Source organism: Homo sapiens, chromosome 6, assembly GCF_000001405.40.
Source record: "Homo sapiens chromosome 6, GRCh38.p14 Primary Assembly".
NCBI lineage: Eukaryota > Metazoa > Chordata > Mammalia > Primates > Hominidae > Homo > Homo sapiens.
Window position 1 is genome coordinate 149,333,211 of NC_000006.12, and position 23,861 is coordinate 149,357,071.

Genomic DNA, 23,861 nt, shown 5'->3' on the forward strand with positions numbered 1-23,861 from the left:
GTGGTTGAATGTCTTTCTGATGCTTCCAAACAAGCATTCTAGCCCTAGAGATTGCACCCATACATAGCAGCGTCACCAACCCAAGATTAGTGAGGCGTACATTTTGCCTCTTTTTTCTCTTTTCCCTAGTGGTAATGGATTTCTGCAAATTCGTCTAAACTTTGGCCCAGATTTCTTGTGTTGAATGGAGTACACATTGCAAATAGTAGGCTAGGTTTAGAGTTGAGTCCATAATAGCATGTCTCCTAGGAAATTTCTTGTGCACATTTTAAAAGAAAGGAATGTTAATCTGTCTGTCTTCTACGCAGTCCTTCTGCCCATTTTCAGGTAGATGGTAGATGTATAGGCCAAGTTTCTCTTCAGTATTTTTATATACCTTTCCACTTTTGAGCTTTACAAGACAAAAATACCCTTAGCCCTTACTATTCCAATGCAGATTTAAATATTAGGAGATTGGGTATTTTTAAAACCATATATTCTTTTATTTCCAGATCCATAGTGTGTGTGTGTGTGTGTGTGTGTGTGTGTGTGTGTGTCTATGTGTCTGTGTGTACAGATACATATATTGTGTTAGTCCATGGCAAATTAGTAAAGTTTGTAAAAAGAATGTCTTTCTCTGGTATTGTTGACACCAACATAGTAAGAATGTTTAAGTGCTTTGCATTAAGCATCTCAGGGAATAAGGAAAGGGAGCTGTATAAAATAATTCTTTGTCTAGTAGGACAAACTGTGTAGTTAACTGAGTCTCGTATAGAGGTGCCTGCCTCACATGATTATTGGGAGCATTAGATGAGTTTATGCATTATAAGTCATTTGACCTAGTGCCTAGCACTTAGTAAATGTAAGCTATTAATAGAAAATTTATTGCTATAAAATTATAAAAATAATAAACTTTAAACTTTATAATCATTTTTGTTATAACTCTTCACTTGGCTTTCTTGATACCATTCTTCCCAACATTTTCTCTGCCTGATTTTTCTGACTTATTCTAAATTCTTCATCCTCAGGTCTCCTCTCTCTTACCTTTTTTTCATTATTCCCTGTGTCAGTGTCAGCACCTTCTGCTGAAACTCACTACAGCGTATCTCTACAAAATCTCTTGCCTTTCTTAGGGAGGAAAGTGACACGATTCAGCCAGTTTTTAGGAAGCTAGCCAAGTTTGTTACCACTGTGAAATACAGTTTAGAAAGGCTTAGCCAGGCATAAGGCCTGTAATACTAGAGTCTTGAGAGGTTGAGGCAAGAGGATTGCTGAAGCCAGGAGTTTGAGACCAGCCTGGGCAACATAGCAAGACCCCATCTCTAATAAAAATAAAAAACTAACTCGGCAGGTAAAGTGCACCTGTAGTCCTGCCTACTCAAGAGGCTGAGTTGAGAGGATCACTTGAGCCCAGGAGTTCGAGGCTGCATATCTATGATTACATGACAGCACTCCAGCCTGGAAAATAGAGCAAGACCTTGTCTCTTAAAAAAAAAAAAAAGAAAACCTTAAGAGTAGAACAAGCAGTCAAACAAGAGGTCATGGTGTTAGGTGATTGCCCAGATAACACATACTTGAACAAGGACATTGTGGTGGAAAAGAGAAATTTTTGTGAAAGTAATCAGTGAAACTTTGCCATTGATTATATGTGGAGAGGAAAAGAATTGAGAACTCTGAGGTTTCTAGCTTCAGAAGCATGTCATTTATAATTAACAGAGAAATACATTAGTGAGTAGGAGGCAGTGAGTTGAGTTTTGGACAAGGTGACTTTAGGTTGCCAGCATGGTATTGTCAGGCTATTAGTTTACTTGTTCCAGTCCCACCCCTCCCTTCCGCCTCCCTCCTTCCCTCACTCGCTCACTGAATTCCATTGCTATTAGTCTAAGAACTTCCCTTTAGGAAAAGTAATTTTTTTTAGTCACAGTCAGCAGTAGAGCTTGAAATTTGTGGAGACCAATTCCCCATTTCCTACCCACATTCTCATTATCCTCTTTTGGTCCGTTTCCCCAGGGAAAAAGGTGAAGATTATTTAGAATAATATCTACTACCATCATTACTACCACCCCACCCCACCTCACCTCCAGGAAATTGGTAGAAAAGTTTATATATAGATATGTATGTATGTATGTATTATATATATAAAAAATATATGTGTGTATATATAACATATATATAATATTTACATACATATATTTGAGACAGGGTATTACTCTGTCACCCAGGCTGGAGGGCAGTGGTACAATCATAGCTCACTGCAGCCTTAACTTCCTGGGCTCAGCCTTAACCTCCCACCTTAGCCTCCCAAGTACCTGGGACTACAGACACCAGCCACCATGCCTGGCTAATACTTTTTTTCTAACTTTTTGTAGAGGCAGGGTTTTGCTGTATTGCACAGGCTAGTCTCAAACTCCTTGGCTCAAGTGATCCTCTTGCTTTGGTCTCCCAAAGTGCTGCGATTACAGGTATGAGCCACTATACCTGACCTAGTTTTTTATTTTTACATCAAATAAATGAAGCAACTTGGCAGGGCTCTTTGAAGAAAAATACAATTTTATGAAGTGTTTGTGATTAAAATATTAATAAGCAGAGTAACACCTCATTCATCTAGTATTCTTAGGTAGTAAGTACATAAAATGATTGAAACTTACTCCTGAATCTATTTTAGAGATTTTATAGAGATTTTACAATATATTATGTATATTGTGTGTAGATAAATATAGATATTCATACCTCCAAATCTATTTCTTTATAATGTTTCACATACTTTGCTGCTTTCTGAAATAGTAACACCTCCTCCCCTCCCCCACTTTTACCCTGCATACTAAACCTTTTCTGGAAGATAGAAATAAACATTTTGTTTCAGAGCTTCAGAATGAGTCAGGAACCCCGGGTTCTAGTCCAGGGCCTGGCACTAAGTTGCTATATGAGAACTGAATCATAGATTCTAGAACAGTGCCTGGCACGTAGTAGTGCTTAACCAATATGTTTGGAATGAATCATTGTCTTGTGCTGACTTTAGTGCTCCTTCCTTGATTTATTACTTGGAATTCATTGCTGCCTAGTAAATAAGCTTCTGGGTTCTTAATTAAATAGGAGTATCTAGGTTCTGATAGAGGTGAACTATAAGCCTAATTTATGTCTGTTTTAACTCCTTAGTGGAACTTTTGGCTTATCTTGATGTATTTTCTGGTACTCGAAGTTGCCAAACAGATGATCTTCTGTGCTTGATTTATTGGGGGCACTTGCTGAGTACTTTATATGTGCCTATATTATGTATATGCAGTGTTCTATGTGTAAGCACATAGCACATGTCTCCGGGGATCTTATAACTTAGATGAAGAGACACAGAAGTAGACTGTAAGAGAATAATTAAATGTTGATTCATAAAGCATTGACCTACAGCTACATTAGTAGTTGTAGGAAAAGATCCATGTGGGCTGAAGCAGGATAAAAAGAATTCAAGTAGAAGGTGAAATTGGAATTGGTTTTGAAGAGGTAGTTAAGATTTTGATAAGCCTCAAGGTGAAGACATAACATTCTAAGCAAGGGCAGTAGTGTAGTAAGCAAAGAAAGGAAAGTGTGGGTTGAACATGTTCAGACAGGCCTGCCCAGATTCCTAAGGGTGTGGGGACTGCTGGGAAATAGAAGCAGGTGAATTTAATAGAGTAGTTTTAATCTGCAAGACCCTGAAGGGATCCAGGGATACAATTTAGAGGGCTGCATGCATTTAGATAAAAAAAAAAAAGTGACATCTTTATATTTTTATGAACTTTGAACTGAAATTTAGCATTTACTTTTAATAAGATTTTAAGCGGCAGACTACAGTAATATTAGCAGTACGTATATCTTTTATTACTAATAGAAAAAGCACAGATATTTTCAGATTACAGCTGTTGATATCTCTATAATTTATGCATATTACTACTTCAGAATTATGGTTTTTATTAGACTCCCACTAGATTTTATTGTATTATTACTAAAGAAGCATATGTATGAATATATCACATACAAGGTTTTTAAAAACACTTGATAACTGTTTCGGTATAATTGGTTTTCTTAGTAATGTATATTTTATGCATTTAAAACCATATTTTCAAAAACAACTATATTTTAGTAAAACTGGCTTTCTTTATAATCCTAGATATTGTATTTTATGCATTTAAAACCACTCTGAGGGGGACTCTGTAGCTTTCTCCAGACTGCCAGAGGGATTCATGACCCCCGATCTAGTGGAACCAAACTGGAGAAGGCATTGAAAAACCACACTGAGGGGTTTTAGCTGAAGTGATAAGCAGGAAAGGAGCCTTGCCAATTTTGTTCATTTGTTTGTTTTGTTTCAGTTACAGAATAGATGTGTTAACATAGAAAATTTCAAAGTTTCAACCAGTTTAGAAAAAAGGGTCAAACTCTTCTTAGCTCACAATTGTAGATAAACTGTTTAAAAAAATAACAGAAACTCATCTTGTAACACCACAGTCACTATCCTTCCTCTTTTATTATTTATCTGTTTCAGTTTATTAAATTCCTCTGCAATTGAGTGAAATATTTAAAGTGGTTATATAGGAAACTTTCTTAATCTCTTATACTATACTTACACAGAGGGTGGGAAGACTGGCAGGGAGCTAAGCAGTGGGTCTGGTCATTTATATGTTTGATGATAGGGATAGGGTGGTAAGCAGTTAGAGATAGAGTAAAATTGCAGGAGATATTGGAAAGAAAAAATAATAGAACTTGGTGGTATGGGAGCTGAGATGCATGGAGTCAGGTAAGAGAGAGTATCAGGAAGAAAGTTAAGTATAGGGTGCCTAAATTAGGATTCCTAGAATAATATTATACAGGTCCACAATGCTTTATCTGAAACCCTGAGGCCAGCTGTGTTTTGGGATTCAAACATTTTTGGATTTGGGAAAGGTAACGTGTATATTGTATATTACATAACTCTCCCAGCAAGGTCTGAGGTATCATCCTGTAACTAGACACTAGTATCTCTGCAGTGAAGGTGAAAATATTCACAGTAAGTGGGCTAAATCAAGCCTGTAAATAACCTTACATCGGTTCAACTCAGATTTTTGCCACCACCAAATGAGTTTCCATATGAAGCTTCGTGGAAAAATCTTGTCCTGACATTTTATTTCAGAACTATGGAAGTAATTGTGGACTGTATTGACTGTAATAACCATTGAGGAGAGTCTTAGAAGTTGTATTTTAAGGAATGTTAATTACAAAATGGATGCGATTTCAAGGAGTTGGGTAAAGGTAAAGAAAGAGAAGAGAGAAGAGTTAAGGTAACTTCACTTTGCAGGCTGAAAAGAAATTGCTATTTCTGACAAAAATGGAAAGTTGAGGAGGGAAACTAGTATTGGAAGAGTTTAAGTTTAAACATAAGTACAATTAAGATGAAACAACATATTTTTGCTTCACATGAAAGCTTGGAAGTTGTTGGAGTGTAAAATTTCCTTTTAAAATGAAACCTAGAAGGAGCTTAACAGCAACCTACAAGGAGCCTAACAGACTGATGTTGATTGAGATCTTAGTGTTTCTGAATTGATAACAGAAATTATCGATTGGAAAGGTGTGCCTAAATAAGTGAAGGTTGTGATCCTACTCATGGAACCAAACCTGGAAAACAGAATAAAAGGGGTAGAGTGAGATAATTCACCTTGTAGCAGGATTCTTTTCTGTATGGTTGAATCATTCCTATGGCTATATTTATTATAACGTGAATATATTTAGAGTAGTAATTGTTCAGCAGCAATGGGAGCTGCCATGTGCCAGGCACTGTTCTAAGTGCTGTAGCAAGCAGTCCGTGCTGTTTCTGTCTTTTGGACTGGGTCAGGACATCAACTCACGTGGGAAGCACAGATAGCGTAATTTTGTTAGAAAATCTAGGATATGACCGGGCACAGTGGCTCACGCCTGTAATCCCAGCCCTTTGGGAGGCCGAGACGGGCGGATCATGAGATAAGGAGATCAAGACCATCCTGGCCAACATGGTGAAACTTGGCTCTACTAAAAATACAAAACTTAGCTGGGTGTGGTGGCACGCGCCTGTAGTCCCAGCTACTTGGGAGGCTGAGGCAGGAGAATCGCTTGAAGTGGGGTTGCAGAAGCGGAGGTTGCAGTGAGCCAAGATCACACCACTGCACTCCAGCTGAGTGACAGAGTGAGACTCCGTTTCAAAAAAAATGAAAAAAAGAAAAAAAATCTAAGATATAATTAATGCATAAATATGTAGGATTAAGTAGGTTTTAACTTTTTTGTCTGCCATTCTGTAATTTTTAAATCCACTTTAATAAATGGACTCATACATTGACACTGTCATATAAGTAAACTCTCTTAGAAATAGGGATAAGTGTTTTTTAACAGGAAAGAAGCACGGCCCAATAATTAATCTTTTTTATTTATTTATTTATTTATTTTTTTTTTTTTTTGAGACGGAGTCTCTGTTGCCCAGGCCAGAGTGCAGTGGTGCGATTGCAGCCCACTGCAACCTCCACCTCCCAGGTTCAAGCGATTCTCCTACCTCAGCCTCCCTAGTAGCTGGGACTACAGGTGTGCACCACCACACCCAGCTAATTTTTGTACTTTTAGTAGAGACGGGGTTTTACCATGTTGGCCAAGCTGGTCTCAAACTCCTGACCTCACTCAGGTGATCCACCCGCCTCAGCCTCCCAAAGTGCTGAGCCACCATGCCCGGCCTCAATAATTACTCTTGAAATTTGTTTAATTGCTCTGTTCATATTTACTGTATATAAATGTAGGCATTTACTTTACGATTCATAAGTAATAATGCTAATTTTTTGTGTTAAACTTTTATTCAGATTCTACTGACATATTATTTGAACTTTATGTTTTTCTTCTATTAAATAAGGGTGTTGGACTAGATAATCTATAAGGCTCCTTTCAACATCAAATCTATGATTCGGAATCTTTTAAGTTTCATCAAGTAGAATAAAAAGCTTAAACTACAATTTAAAGGAGATTCTCCTTAGATTATGCTGTGAGTGTAAATAAGATGCCAGAGGAACAAGTGAGAGAATGAATGTTATAACTTTACACCTACATCCTTTTGGCTAACATTAATAAGAGGCATAGAAATAAGAATTCTAAGAAACTAGAATGCAGAGTGTTGACCGGAAAAGAAGTTTTCAGAAAGAAAATTATTAGTAACGTCAAGCTAGTACAATAAAGAAGGAACCTTGGACATGAGGTTAGACAGCTACAGATACATTTCTGGTTTTAACTCTGCTGCTTATTGGAGTTTCGATGAGTAAATATTACTTAATATGTTTTTTTAAAAGAGTAAAAGCAAGTTCATTATAATTTGTAAATAACGTTGTATACCTGGAAAAGCCAAGAGAATCAACTGAAATATTACTATAAGTAATGAGATTTCAGTATGATGACTAGTTAAAAAATTTAAAAAAGTGGTTTATCTGAAGTGGTTTTTTTATTTGATGGTCTTTAAACTGAAAGCCTATTCATATGAGTTACTGAATGGAAATCCTCAAACTTAAATACCCTTTCCCCTTCTTTCTGAGGAATGCAGTAATTCAGTCTTATCATCTAAGTTTTAGTATATTTTGAATAAGACACTTCCATGTTAACTTTTTAAAACTTTTAAAATGAAGTTGTGGCAGAGAATACACTTAAAACAACTATAAGGAAATCATTTTTTAAAATTCCTTGTGGCTTGTGATACTTGCTCTATTACTTGGTAATTTTAGAGAGGGTGTAATCTGATCTTTGAGCCATATTTGGTAAATAATAATTTTGTGTGGAACCCACTGTTCTATCAGTAAGAGGAAAATTATTGCCCATATATAAGGCTTTTCTTTGCCCTTAAAACATTTCCTAACTTAAGGACCAAATTATATCATGCATTGATTGCTTTTATGTTTTTTTAAAAAGGATTATACCGGATCTATATATAACTTTTTAACAAGAGATGTGTTGACAGAAGTATTTTATACTTTACTTGGAAAGAGAATTACATGTCTTCTTGTTTACTACTAATTCTTTTTATATCCTAAATATAAATTGTTATATTTTTATTTATCATCAGCTCTCAAAATTGACCTCTCTCATATACTCAATTTGTGGCTATTCTGGAAGATAATCAGTTACATGTCTTAGAATGTGATTATAGTTGAATTATTTAAACCGAAAGCCTGCTACCTAGTTGTTGCTTTAGCATTTGTGAAAATGAAAACTTAAGTATACCCACATGTTTAGAACAAGAAAATGTGTTACATTCTTTAATAATGCAGAAAAATATATTGAATGCCTATATGTGCCACACTGTTAAGTGCTTTACATACACTTTAGCTAAATCTCATGGACAGTACAGCAGGGTGGGTAGTGATATTCCATTTAATAAAAGAGATTTCTGCAGTTTAATTTCAAAGCCATACTGAAATCAGATCTGAACTTAGACTTCTCTCTCACAGAATTCCTTGTCCTGCAATGTGCCATCACAATAGATGGAAAATTTACATTTTTCACAAAAACTACTTTTACTCTGTTTTGCTGTTTATATTGCTAGTTACTGGAAATGCAGGGAATTCAGTTTTTGGATCTTCGTCTTCACTACTTTTTTTTGTCCTATTACAGTTTTCACAACATCTATGATAATTTGAGAGCAGCAGAAAATTCTATTTATTTTGACTCCTGTGGGATTAGTTTCTTAGGGAAATGCCTAAGGGTACCAGCCTACCAAGCATAAGGACATCATTTCCAGGTTTTAATAATCAAAATAGTACAACATTCTACTATTCATAATATCCTATTATTTCTGTAACCTTCGTAGTTGCAAGTTTGTTTTTGGTTTTTGTTTTATATGGCCCTAACAAAAATTAAAAAAAAAAAAATCATTGAATCTATTTTGGTAATGGAAAAAAAGATTTTCCAGTGTGGTTAAGAACCACATCTTATGAGCTGTTCTTTGCCTCCCTCTTTAAGAATTACCAAGTATTTTTAAAAATTGGAACTTAACATTCAATTCATTGCTTGGATATATCTAAAGCATTTCTTAAGAAACCCCTGGGAATGGATCATAGGAAATTAGGGGAGCGTTTAGAAGATGATTGGAAATACGATAGTGAAAGGGAAGAGAAAAATGACCTGAAAATGAGGACTTTACATTTCCAATTTTGGATTTTGTTGTTGTTTTTCTCTTTCTGTTAGAGTTACTCTGTGGTCTCCTGTTGGACAGTCTGTTGCTAAAAGCCATTAGAGATTTCATAAAAACTACTGTTTTGAGTTGCTGGAACTGAGATTCCAGAATAGTGTTGGGTAGGTTAAAAGAATGGCTTAACCAAAGTAAACAGCATCCTTTGGTTACTTGCAATTTAAGAGACCCATTTTCCCTTCAGAATATTTTATGTGAGAGACTTTGGGGACTACCTTACTGCTATTACATCTCATAATGTTATCTGGTCACATTTCTTGTTCTGCCTACCTCTAGTTTACTCTAGTTTCTCTTCTGCTTTCAAGGCTCCAGACCCAGTTCCTGGACCTGCCCTGGAAAAGAAGTATCCCGTAGAGATGAGCTCACTGCAGTTACTTAATTAACAATTTGTAAGCTGCAAAAATGGCAATGGGCCAACCAAGAACAGCTACAATTTGAATTTTTCTATTTCCAGGTATGCTAAAGTCCATGGCACCAGTCAAGCTTAGCCTGTGTAACTGCCTTATTATTAAATCTATAGTAACTAAAACTTGACTTTCAAAACTTATAGTCATCTTGCTTTAAAGTATAGTAACACTAACATCTAGGTAACATGCAGCTAGTATTGAGTTTAACATACCTTTTGCCTGAATATTTCTAATTTAACTTGTTTGCTAGTAGTAGCAAACTAATGCAAAAACATAAGAAAAATAAATGTGAAATGCTATTGAGTGAAGCCGTATAAACATACCAAAAAAAATTGAAAAACAAACATCAACAACAACAAAACTGCCTTTCTTTAAAAGGTTTACATTGAGTACAAGCAGTATAGGGAATTCAGTTAATGAAACTACTTCCCTCTTCCTGAGATCCTCAACTATTCTACCCTACTAATGCCTTTACCTAAAAAGTTGATATATTCATACATGGCGAAACCCCGCCTCCACTAAAAATGCAAAAAAATTAGGCAGGCTTGGTGGCGTGCACCTGTAGTCCCAGCTGCTTGGGAGCCTGAAGCACGAGAATCACTTGAACTGAGGGAGTCGGAGGTTGCAGTGAACTGAGATTGCACCACTGCACTCCAGCCTGAGCAACAGAGTGAGACTCCGTCTCAAAAAAAAAAAAAAAGGTTAATATATTCTTCAGTAATTGGAAATTAGACATATTATTTCTGGATAGAACCGAGCAATGTATTATATAGTACTTTACCTGAAGAATTTAGTTATATTTTTAAACTAAGTGTATAACTAATATTTGCTAATATTTTACTTGATTACCCAAAAGAAACCAGCCAAGGAAGTTACAAATAGTCAGAGTCATCCTGGAGTGTAACAACAAAACCAAAAACTGAGGTTTCCTAATGCCTTAGATTTTAACCAAGAGAAAGCTACTCATGAATGGTTAGAGGGCCAAGATCAATTAGCTTTTAAGGATATTTATTCCTTTTACCAATATATATAGATGTAGAAACAGAATTAATCCCTGAAAGATGAGTTTATTTACTAAATGGGTAGATAATCATACATGTCTTTTGATTTTAGTTCAGTTTATCTAGGTTAGAGATTACCGAAAACTGAAGAGGAATTTTGTATCCCAATTGTGAATTTAAAAGGCAATCCTAATATTCTAGCATGTGCTTAACTCCTTCCTTACATCCCTTCCTGCAGTATTAATGCATAATGAATTTAATGTCTGGCAATTTAGTCAGCATTAGGTCACTGATTATGTGCCACATTATTTGTTTGGTGTTTAAAGAATTATGTGTCACTGAGTGTTGAATTAGAGCTGGAAAGGGAGCTACTAGTTAGGGTCATTACCACTGTTAGGTGAATTGAAGTAGAAATTGAAGAAGGAATTACATATGAATATCAAGTCTTAGTTATTTTCAGTGGTGCTATTAATGGTGAAATTTTTCTCCATTATTCAATGTAAATAGACACAGCTGGGATGTAGAAATCAATAAACCTTGTTTTAGTGAGCTTACAGACAAGTAATATGAAAGTATCGTAATAGAGATGCATACAACATACTTAAGAGTACTGGAGAGAATCAGCTTTGTGGAGAAGGTAATGTTTCTGCTGAACCATGAAGGATAAATAGAATTCTTTAGAGAAAGCAGCAAGAGTATTTCTAAGTTATGGAGATGAAAGTATTTAATATATTATAGAAATTGTGAGCAGTCCAGTGTGCATAGAGAATAGTTGGATAGGGAGGGGTGTGATGGGAGATGGAGCTATGTCATGTTTTTTTGAATGTCAGATGAAGGAGTTTGGACTTTAATAGGCAATGGGAATCCGTTGAAGATTTCTCAGAACTGGTATGTGTTAAGTCAGTGAATCTTTTGAAAAGCTGACTACCGTAGAGTGAGGGTTGAATTGATGAAGTTAGAGGTTAGGCAGTAGTAATGCCTAATAAGGGACATTTACTCTGTCAGGCATTGTGCAAAGAGTTTTACCTGCAGTTTCTCACTTAATCCTCACTACTGGAATATTGTAAAAAGTAACTGAAATAATACATGTTTAAGGCATTTAGCACAGGACTTGGCTCATAGTAAGTGTAGAACCAAAGTGATTATACTCTAGGCTCAGAGAAAACAGCGTGTCTTGTCCACCTTTGTATATGATAGTACAATAACTTTCCATAAAGGTATTGTGTTTATTGGGAGACTCTTATATTTAATAGTAACAATAAGCCTACTTCTTTTTCTACCACCCCTTACCTCTTTCCTTTAATTAATTAAACCATCTCATTGGTAGATGTGTAATACTTAGTCAGTTTGAGTGCTTGCATAATAAATAGTTCACCTTGAGTTAGCCTTTAGGTAAAAAAAAAAGTCACCTGGCTTCTTTGTTTTAACCAAGGATTACAAATTATGACACTAAGCTTAGACATGGTTAATCATGGATGGACCTACATATATAAATTCATAAGTAACATTTAAGTTAGAAAGTAACTGTAAATCTCATCTATCAAGCATCCTGATAATTGGTCAGTGCTGCAGCTGTAAACTGCACATCCATAACAGTTTCAGCATAGACAACACAGGCTTTGAGTTATTTGAAGGTACCTGTGGTTGGCTAATACAGGTACCTTCAAATAACTCATTCTGTTCTATTCTTACTCTATCTACATATCAGAATACAAGTAATATTATAGAGAAATATATAAGGAATAACTTTATAGTAATGCATGAATATGTGTTATTATAAAAATTGGGACAGATGACTAAACCTCCTTGGAATACCTTCCATCCATGTGTCCTTCTACTCAGCCCCCTCTCCAGAATAATTAGTGTGTGTATACTTTCAGAATCTTTCCTATACAATCATATAAAAATATCTGTTTAAAATACATCTATTTTCAGCATCATAGGAAAGGACAAAACATTTTTTAAAAGCTTTTTAATATAATGCATCTTTTGTGTGTCTTTATTTTTACACAAAAGGTGTTATACATGGAATCTGCATCTTGATTTTTTTTCAGTCAATAAGGTCTTATAGGTCCATATAATTATTTGGATATATTTGTCCATATAATTATTTGGACATCATATTCCACTAAACAACAACAACAAAAAGCTGCATGGTGTTCCTTAGTGTGGCTATGCAATAATGTATTTATTTATTCCTCCTAGATGGCCATTGAGGTTGTTTTTAGAAGCACACACTGGGATGACCATTCTTGTTTACACCACTTTAAACACGTGTGTTTTTTCTAGATTAGATGCTTTAATTCATATAGCTGGATAGATGAAGAGAGGGAGGAAGGGGTGGATGGGTGGATGGATAGATGGATAGAAAGCTAGAACTCTGATACTTTATTAGTAGTAGCAAATATCCATGTACACTTTGTCTAACTTGTGAACTTATCATACTCCTAGTGCTATTGTGCACACGCCCACGCATGCACGCATGCACACACACACACCCCTCTCCCTTAGCAGCTGGCCAGGAGTCCACTATGGGAAAAAGTCAGCTGAGGGCTATGACATTAGAAAGAAAATGAGCAGAGTTATATGAGATGAACAGGAAGAATCATGGGACCAAGTAAGGCATTGAAACTGCATGGGGATCAGATCAGTTGGTGAAACTTTTTTTTTTTTTTTTTTTTTTGAGACAGAGTTTCGCTCTTGTTGCCCAGGCTGGAGTGCAATGGTGTGATCTCGGCTTACTGCAACCTCCGCCTCCCGAGTTCAAGCAATTCTCCTGCCTCACCCTCCCAAATAGCTGGGATTACAGGTGCCTGCCACCACGCCCAGCTAATTTTTGTATTTTTAGTAGAGATGGGGCTTCACCATATTGGTCAGGCTGGTCTTGAACTCCTGACCTCAGGTGATTCGCCCACCTCGACCTCCCAAAGTGCTGGGATTACAGGCATAAGCCACCGTGCCCAGCTGGTGATACTTCTTATAACTTTCTCTGAATATTAAGGTGCCATTTTAAATTAATATTTAACCAACTTATTAAAATTTCTACACATCATTCAGTGAATTGGTTTGTTATAAATGTTTATGGTTGGTGTAAGATGAAAATTGGTTCCTTCAAGTGCTTTTATTCTCTTTTCTCCTCTTTCCCTTTTACCCATAAATAGGAACTTATTATCATACTTAGCTCCTGTTTTCTTTTATAGATGATATTTATGCACAGGATAGATTATCCAAAAATTAGAGTGAAAGAGGGCAGTGAACAATAATGTATTGCAAAATAATAATGAGGTATGAATTATAAAATGCACAAAAGGTAGTTATATAATATGTTTTGATGAAGTATAACCATTCCGTCTTAGATTTATTGCACTTTTCTTGATCCTTAGAAAATGTAGTACCTACCACAAAACCACAGTACATAAATTGCCAAGTGTGGCCGACTTGCACATTCCTTTTAGAAGAACTTATAACTGGTAAGCCTGTTAACCATCAGAAATTGTCAGCATTCATGGCCTTGAGGCAGTGCATTAAATGACAAAATGGGAAATTTTCTCTTTAAGAGGAAGTAGTGTGGATTATTATGCTACTTTATTAATGTTTATTGTTATTCTTTAGAAAGTAAATTATTGTAGGCTTATAAAATTAAGAAATCTAGTTTTTAGTAACATAATCATTTGCTCCCTTTAAATTTTAAATCACTCTAAATCTGAACATAATAGCTAACTTAAAATAAGTAGCATTTGGATTACATTATTTTTGCAGATAACTGATTATCTGTGTGAAATGATTTAGTATTATAAATGTTTTGTGATAAAGTTTATGGTAAAGATTGATTATAGTTACCTCATTTTTATCTTAAATGGAGTTTAAGTAAAGTTTGCTTTGCCTTGATAGAATTGTAACATCATGCTCCAAGAAATATAATTCCAATAATTTACTATAAAAAGTAAATTTTAAAACTTTATGTTAAATTAACATTTATAAATTCTTTTAAAGTTAATTAAATCTGAAGTGCACCAAGTATTAGCTAACTGGTATATGATATGATACTTGTATAATATGTCAATAATGTAAAAGGTATTTAAATAGTGTATGTACTTAGGTAATATGATTCTTATTTTATGTTTAATTTTGAAATGTTCATTGAGGTCAAAAGGTTTTAAAATTTGCTTTAATTTAAAAAATTATAGCATCATCCAGCTATTCTGACTGCATTATCAACACTTCTTTCTGTGGTAAAGGTACTGTTTAAGAGTAATTCATGGCAGTGTGATAATGCCAGCCAATTCACAGAAGAGAGAAATTGTAATTAGTAATAAGAATGTGGGCCAGGCACAGTGGCTCACACCTGTTATCCCAGCACTTTGGGAGGCCAAGGTGGGAGGATCACTTGAGTCCAGGAGTTCAAGACCAACCTTGGCAATATAGGGAGAGCCTACCAAAAAAATACAATAATTAGCCAGTTGTGGGGTTGCGCACCGGTAGTCCCTGCTACTAAGGAAGCTGGGGAGGGAAGATCCTTTGAGCCCAGGAGATTGAGGCTGCAATGAGCCATGATTGTGCCATTGCACTCCAACCTGGGTGACAGAACAAGACCCTGTCTCAGAAAGAGAGAGAAGGAAAGAGTAGGAGAAAGAAGGAAAGAAAGAAAGAAAAAAAAAAACTGTTAGCATCATATTGACAACTAAATAGATAGGTCGAAACGTTCTGCCGTCCTATTTGGCATCCTGGAGAGGTTAATGTTAATAGTCAGTGGTTGAGCCAGAGGCATGTTCCTAAATATCACCATGCTATGCAAAGTCACACAAAAAAACACACAGGGCTTATGGGAAAAAAAAAAGGAATTATGGCTGTAACACTTGGAAACATCACCTGTGAACATTAAAAAAAAAGATAAGGCCGGGCGCAGTGGCTCATGCTTGTAATACCAGCACTTTGGAAGGACGAGGCAGGTAGATCACCTGAGGTCAGGAGTTCGAGACCAGCCTAGCCAACATGATGAAACCCCGTCTCTACTAAAAATACAAAAAAATTAGCCGGGGGTGGTGGCAGGCACCTGTAATCCCAGCTTAGTCAGGAGGCTAAGGCAGGAGAATTGCTTCAATCCGGGAGGCGGAGGTTGCAGTGAGCCGAGATCGCACCGTTGAACTCCAGCCTGGGCAACAAGAGCAAAACTCCATCTCAAAAAATTTAAAAAAAAAATCTTAAAGATAATTTTATTCATGTTAAATAAATTAAGAAATATGTAAATACTACAATGAATATTGTACTTTTTCCTCAATGAGACCTAAAGTTTGCTTATGGAAGGGAGCACAGGAAGAATTGCAGCTTGTGAGTTATTGTAAAGTAGTCAAGGCTGGGCGCCATGTCTCACGCCTGTAACCCCAGTGCTTTGGGAGACTGAGGCGGGTTGATCACAAGGCCAGGAGATTGAGATGATCCTGGCTAACACAGTGAAACCCCGTCTCTACTAAAAATACAAAAACTTAGCCAGGCACGGTGGCACGCGCCTGTAATCCTAGCTACTTGGGAGGCTGAGGCAGGAGAATTGCTTGAACCCAGGAGGCGGAGGTTGCAATGAGCCGAGATCACTCCACTGCACTCCAGCCTGGGCAACAGAGTGACACTCCGTCTCAAAAAAAAAAAAAAAAAAGGTAGTCAAGAAAGAGTTTTTTGAAATCAGTAATGTGACTGGGTGTGATTAATGACATGCAGATCTGTTAAGCTGAGATAGCTGGTAAGTGTTTCAGGTGTGTTCCTGTTTACTTTTTGTATATTCATATGCTGCTTGTTTTAGCTCAATACAGCTTTCTGTGTTCACCTAGTGTTTCTTACAAATGAAATTACAGCAAAATTGACTTAATGTTCAAATTGTTCTCTCATATCAATTGTGATGGAACATATTTACATTTTCAAAACAGATATAGCAGCACTGACATATCTGAGGTTAAGGGAAACGCTTGAGTTTGGGGAGATAGATAACCACTTTTTAGAGTAGTCTTTAAAAGCTGTATGTATTCTGATGTTTATTTAGAGAGTTATGGCAACAAATATTTACTGAGCATCCACTTGACATACACTAAGTAGTTAGGATACACCAGTGAAAAATAGTCTCTCTGCTTGGGAACTAACATACATGCATGCATTCATTCATTCATTCATTCAGAGATGGAGTCTCACTCTGTCGCCGAGGCAAGAGTGCAGTGGCGCAATCTCAGCTCACTGCAACCTCTGCCTCCTGGGTTCAAGCGATTCTTTTGCCTCAGCCTCCCGAGTAGCTGGGATTACAGGCGCCTGCCACCACGCCTGGCTAATTTTTGTATTTTTAGTAGAGACAGGGTTTCACCATGTTGGCTAGGCTGGTCTCAAACCCGTGACCTCAGGTGACCCACCCACCTCAGCCTCCCAAAGTGCTAGGATTACAGACGTAAGCCACTGCGCCCGGCTGGAATTAATATTTCTCACGTGAAGAATTTTCTTTGTGACCAGGGCTTGTTTTTAAGAGGTAAATAGGATTGACTGGGAGAAGAGGAAGTCTAACAAGGAGACGACTGGGCAACAAGGCATTTTTCAGATCTCTTAAATTATACTTTTATGAGATAACTTCCTAGAATTCTGTCCAATTCAGGATTTTATGATTTACAGAAAAAATTATTACCGCTAATGGCTACTTTGGAAACTGGAATTTGCTTTTAGCGTATGTTGAAATGGAAAAATCTTCTCTTACATTCTTGTACACAAGCTAAGGAAGAATCCTAGGGCGGTTGAGAAGTGAACGTTATGTATTTCTTCCTACTACTGTTTGATATTCGGCATGAACCATATTTTATGTCTTTTTTTTTTTTTTTTTTTTTTTTAAGAGCTCAGTCACCCAGGCTGGAGTGCAGTGGCACAATCATAGCTCACTACATCCTTGAACTCCTGGGCTCAATGGATCCTCCTTCTTTAGCCTCCTGAGTAGCTGGGACTACAGGCATGTGCCACCATGCCCAGCTTACTTTGTTAACATAATTAAATTTGTTCCAGCAAAACTCATAATTATGTAAGAACGGTGCAAAGATAAAATGATGTATATATATAGTTTGACATATATTAAAACCTTATTAGCATTAGCGTATCTCAAGGTCTTCTCAGATAAAGACCACTATACCTTGAAACCTTCATTCATCTTCTCAGCTTCTCCTGTAACTACCCCCATCCTGAGTACCTTCTTCATAATCCCCTTCTTTCCTCTTTGTCCCTCCTTTCTTCCTCCTGCAAGACAGGTGACACGATCCCCAGAATCTGCCTTACTTCTTTTATACTTTAAGTTCCTATGCTTCAATACTTTCCCACTTCCTCCTCAGCCCAGAGAGATCCCTTTAAACACCTATTATAACACAGTTTATGCCACTTTTCTAGCACTTTGCACAACCTAGTACTGTTGAGTTTGTCATGTAGCTTTGTCAGATTTCCCCAACTGCAAGTTTTTTGTCCCGTATGCATTGAAAAAGAAGGCCTTAAAGGCTCAATCCACTCCTACAATATTCTGCAACCAGGGTAATATGCAGCCCTGTAAGGTTTTGTTCCTTTGCACTTCGTGGAAGTTCATGATATTTAAAATAAATAATTACTACTACTACCAGTTTGTACTTTTTGCTGTAGGCAGGACAGATATAATGCAATTGGCTTTAATTATGTTGTCACTAATCCTTGAAGCTCTTTGAGTTGTTTTCTCCATTTTACGAAGAATGAAATGATAGTATTGATATTTTATTTACATGTGTACTTACTATGTGCTCTTTTTATTATCTTACTTGGATTACTCATTTAATTCTCCTAACACTCCTATGAAGTAGCTACTCTATCATCACCATTTTATAGATGAGGAAACTGAGGCACAGAAAAATTAAATGATTTGCCCAAGAAGTTACTGCAAGTAAATAGCATATTAAACTTCATAAACGAACCCATGGAATCCTAGAATTTATACTTAGCCAGCTATCACTGTGTATCAAATACTGTTTTATATACCTTATATCATAATTGTCTCATCTAGTTAGATAAGACAGTGTGCACTTATGGAACTGAGGTTGAAATATTTAGCAACATTAGGTTATCTCTGTTTTAAACTATTAACATGTTCTTTCACCAGAAAATTTTAGAAGCGTGCATGGCTAAGGTAGAATACTGGTTCTTTTAGTTCTACTCTTTTCTTCTCTTCAGGAAAGTTTATGCCTGTCTCAGAGTAACATTTTATTTATTCATTGGTTCCTTTTCTTTCTTAAGATTTTAATAGTAAAGGCCAATACTTTGTCAAGTTTAAATTATGTAAATTGAGTAGTTTATGTGAGATACATTACTAGTTATTCCTTTTATTTTTAAAAGTTAGATCTCTGGGAATTTAGCTTTGCTCCACCATTTACTTTGTATGGCACCTTCTTGATAGTAAAAGATTTTTCAGAAATTTACCTGCCCAAAAACAGCTTTTATTTTATAATAAGCTTCATTTTTAGCTGACCTATGGTGATCCATATGTGTTTATTGTACATCTACATTTTCCTACACTCTTAAATATATAGTAGCTGCAGAATCTGTTTGTGTATACTTAATAGAGGTAATTTTTTCTTCCCCTAGTTATTTCTTTCCCATTGAATCAAGTTACATACAAGTTTCTAACCATTCCTGTTACAGGCTTGTTGGTGATTGACTTCATTTTAATAATCTTTTTATTTCATTGCCTTTCACCCAGTTTTTTAAACTCATGAAATTCCACACCCCTTTCCATCTCTATTTTCCTTCCTTAAATCAATACTTTACTATAAGCACCTCTTATATGTGATCCTTTGACCATAGTCATCTTGGTTTTTGATTAGTCCCTTCCCTGCCTTTCATTTACTGTGTTATCAACTAGCGGTCTTGTAGGAACTGGAGTAAACTTTACTTGAAGAAACATTCAGATAAGCAGTTGTCTTGAGAGGGCTCATCACAGTGGATTCAAAGATGAATCAGTGAACATACTTGGGCTTTATACTTAGGGACTTTGATTCAGTAGGTCCAGGATGAAGCCCAGTGATTTTGTTTCAGGTGGTCCACAGACCAAACTAAAAAATGCTGATTTAGGAAACACACCCTTTTCCTGATGAGGAAAGTTGCGTTTTTGTCCAATATCTTAAATCTTAAGGAGCTTTTAAGGTTTTGGCACCTTTTTTCCCTCCTGCTTACACACTCAACTTTGTTTGCTCTAAGATTTACCTGTTTTGAACATCATCAGCCTTGTAAAATGGAATTACTGATTCCATGGTTCTCTACCTTGACTTCCCATCACAGTTACTGGTGGAGTATCTTGTTTTTACTTTGAGTAACAGAGATGCATGTGTAGGCCCTACATCCAGAAATTCTAAAACTCATTATCAGGTTTGAGTTACCTCCCCAACTTTGGACTCTGCATTTCAAAGCTCTGGGTGCTGCTGCTGCTGCTGCTGGATTGCTTTTGCTGCTGCTGCTGCTTTCTCCACCTTACTCCTTCCCCTTACTTCTCTCTTTTACTAGGTAACGCAGGAATATAATACAGAATTCAACAAGCACGAAAAGGTGTACAGTGAAGAGAAAGTTTCTTAAGTCTTCCTCTCCAGCCCTTATTCTCCCAGATTCCCTCTTCTTCCTCAGATAATCATTGTTACCAGTTTCTTCCCCAAGTGATTTAGATGTGCATCCAGAATGGAGAAACACTAACTTAGTGCTAGCAAGCAGGATATTACATAGGCATTAGGAAAAAATCAAGCGGGGAACGACCCCTTTAAGTCTTTGTAAAATAAAGATAAAATCTAAAGGCTAACCTTCATATTGTTGCCTTGACATTGTGAATATAAAGTCGTATTCTGAGGAAATAATTTAAATATGGAAATGGTCCACGTACAAAAAACTTTTTGCGTAGCTTTCTAGAGAAAAATTAGAAACAACTTAGTTATTTGTTTACAAGACTGGCTAAATAGTAATATATTGACCTGATGGACTGTTATGCAGTCATTTAAAACAATGCTTATTTTCTAACTTTTCTTCAGGTGTATATTTTATTTCTCTATATATAGAGAGTGAGAGATTAAATATATATATTTGTGTATTTGTGTGTGTATACATATGTAAAGAGACATACATACACGTATATGTTTTTTAACCCACTAAAACTTTGGAGTCCAAGTTATATTTATGCATAAAAGTTAAATCCTGCTTCTCTATTTGCATGCTTCTCAGTGTTGACAGATGTCTAGATAAAATTTAACTAAATTTCTCTACAATGTCCTTTACTGGATATTGGTTTCTTTATAACATTCATCAAAACCTCAATTATGTGCATCTAATTGGTCCCAGCTTCTGCTATCCAAAGTGTAATCATGCCCTTTGAACACAAACACCTGCTTACCTTAATTAGTACATCTGTATGCCTTCTTATGTTACCACATCAGTTTATTTGATCCTGAAATCGAAAGAGAAGTAGGTAAACAAGCACTCTACAGAGCCTCATTTTGGATTGTGCAAATCTCAAAACTTTTGATTAAATATACTTAATATGTTAGGTAGATCGTGTCACAAAATCATGTCATAAAATGTAATCTCAATTTTAGAACTTCAGGTAGTCTTGGACTACATAACACTTTGAAGCATCTTCATTTCCCTAAGTCTAAATTGTAAGATGAAATATAAAACACATTATTTTCACTTTTTATTGAATATTTTTTATTACAGAAACAATATATTAAATAAAATAGGTTTTTAAAATTTATTTGTGTGTTTTTTATTAGATCAAGAAGGTGTATAATGAAGAGTAAATCTCCCTTAATTGCGTTCCCTAGAGGCAGCCAGTGTTACCAGTTCTTGTGTATCCTTCCAAAGATATTCTGTGCACGTAAAAGCGTGTGTGTTCTTGTATGTAAGAGAATACAGAACACTGTTCTGCACTTAGTGGTGGTAGTTTTTTAACTGAGTATTGTTTCTTGGGGATTATTCCATATTAGCATCTCATTCTTTTTAATGGCTGTATAGTACATTATACTTTTGTGAATGACCATAGTTTACACATCACTATTAACAGATACGTAAGTAGTTTTTGGTTGTTTATCATTAGAAACATGCTTTGGCAAATATATATAGTTTTCTGTGTGACTGTATCTGCAAACAGATTCATAAAAATAGAATTGTGAAGTCAAAAAATAAATGCAGTTTTAATTTTGATACAGATTGCCAAATTGACATCTATAGAGACTGCACTCTGAGGTGAGGATTCCCCTCACCAAGTGATGTGTTAACAGACATTTGGATGTTAATTAAAGATCATTATTTTTTAATAAATTAAATCTCCCATGATGCGCCGCCCCTATACTTTTTTGTTTGGTCTCCAATTTAAAATTTTCCCCAGTGAAAATTATTTACATGATAATGTCTTTCTGTTTTTGCCAAATATTACATGACTACTTCCTTGCATTTTCTGAGGTTTTAATAAGTTTTAATGTCTGCATAATAGTCAAGTATTAATAAATTACAGTTTGAAAAGCTGCTTTCCAAAAGTTAAGCTGTTTGGTTCTTTTTTGGTTTTTACTGTTAGAAAACTATTTTAAACTTAGGGCAGGTGTGGTGGCTAATACCTGTAATCCCAGCACTTTGGGAGGCCGAGGTGGGTGGATCACCTGAGGTCAGGAGTTCGAGACCAGCCTGGCCAACGTGGAGAAACCCCCGTCTCTACTAAAAATGCAAAAATTAGCCGGGCGTGGTGGCAGGGACATGTAATCCCAGCTTCACAGGAGGCTCAGACAGGAGAATCGCTTGAACCCAGGAGGTGGAGGTTGCAATGAGTCGAGGTCACACCATTGCACTCCATCCTGTGTGACAAGAGCAAAACTCCATCTCAAAAAAAAAAAAAAAAACTATGTTAAACTTACGTTGAATTACTTCCTTAGCATAAATTCCTAAGAGAGAAAGGTACTGCTGTCTTTTGATTACCTTACTTACATGACACTGTTTACCTGTGTGCTTCCTACCTCAAGATGCTTATGGATAAATAGGATCATGCCCAACTAAATTTGAGAAATATTGCATCTGCTGCTGCTACCCAAAGATTAACAGTGCATATTAAAGTCCAGAAATAAAGAAACCTCCTTAACTTTAAGTAACAGCATTTTTCAAATGTATTGCCACAAAAAAAAAACTTATTTTTCCATGTAACACTTAACTAATGCTATTGAAAGGCTCTTTGAGAAGTGATAAATGACAAAGTGATATATTGGGCTTTCAAGTAGATTTCTTAAAATTTGAATTATTGAATCTGTTCTGATACCTCCTAATTTAATCGTATTTCCTAATGTCCTAGAGAATTCCAAATGCTTATTTCCTTCTAACTAAAGGTAATGGTAGTTCTACTTTAGCACATAGAAATGTAGGAGACTGCCATTCAACAGGTATTTGTAGAAAACTTAGTATGGCCTTATTAAAGGCAAGATTTCACAGTGATTCTGTGACTAAAATTGGGGGTTAACTGAAAGTGAGACTCAACTTCATTTTATACACGTAGATGTGGATTGTCAAAATGAGCAACCATTAAACAAGGTTACAGAAATAAGATGATAATCTTAGTTTATTCAGGCTGCTGTAACAAAATACCATAAACTAGGTAGCTTATAAACAGCAGAAGTTTATTTCTTGTAGTTCTGGAGGCTATGAAGTCCAAGATCAAGGCACCAGCAGACTGAATGTCTGGTGAATTCCCACTCTGTGGTTCGTAGGTGGCACCTTTTAGCTATGTCCTCGCATGGTGGAAGGGGCAGCTCAGCTCCCTCGGGCCTCTTTTATAAGGCCACTAATCCCATTCATGTAGGTTCCACACTCAAACCTGATCACCTCCCAATACTGTCATCTTGGGGGATAGGATGTCACATACGAATTTTGAGGGGACCTGACCATTCACACCATAGCAGGTGAGGATGGATCTAAAGCATAAAAATCTTTCCAGCCTTCATCTGTAGATCTTGACATCAGATGTTGAGTATTCACTCTTGTAGTGTGGAATTTAGGATTTTGTTTTTGTTTGGTTTGAAATGAATTCCAGCATTAAAATCTCTTATATGATTAATTTGCTACAAACAGACTTTCACCTATCCATAGAATTTTTTTACAGTAATTTATAAAAATGCACCTGTCATTTCAAAAGAGCATATCGTATTTTTTACAGATACCTTGACTATTCAATTATTTCATTCACCAGCATTATGACATTTATAACAGTCTAGTGGCTGAAAACTGAAATAACCACGTCTT

General features: G+C 36.1%; 1 protein-coding gene across 10 annotated transcripts in view, besides 1 other annotated feature; it reads left to right on the forward strand.

Moving 5' to 3' along the window:
• The window catches only part of TAB2 (TGF-beta activated kinase 1 (MAP3K7) binding protein 2), a 193,682-nt gene that overhangs the window by 115,285 nt on the left and 54,536 nt on the right, over positions 1–23,861 (forward strand). For 4 of the 10 annotated variants that reach the window (NM_001369506.1, XM_011535633.3, XM_047418487.1 and 1 more), the window contains one exon: positions 9,475–9,623. The exons of 4 other annotated variants lie outside the window; for them this stretch is intronic. The gene's annotated coding sequence lies outside the window, so the exon portion shown is untranslated. Of the gene's footprint in view, positions 1–2,348; positions 2,442–9,474; positions 9,624–13,960; positions 14,048–23,861 lie in introns of those variants that run through there. 2 more of the 10 variants (NM_015093.6, XM_017010592.3) reach the window with 2 other exon arrangements.
• Positions 3,503–3,652: an enhancer, noted in NCBI's record as "active region_25254". NCBI's record gives its function as "activates an Ori minimal core promoter by ATAC-STARR-seq in GM12878 lymphoblastoid cells {active_cell/tissue: GM12878}" and the evidence as "EXISTENCE:reporter gene assay evidence [ECO:0000049][PMID:35858748]".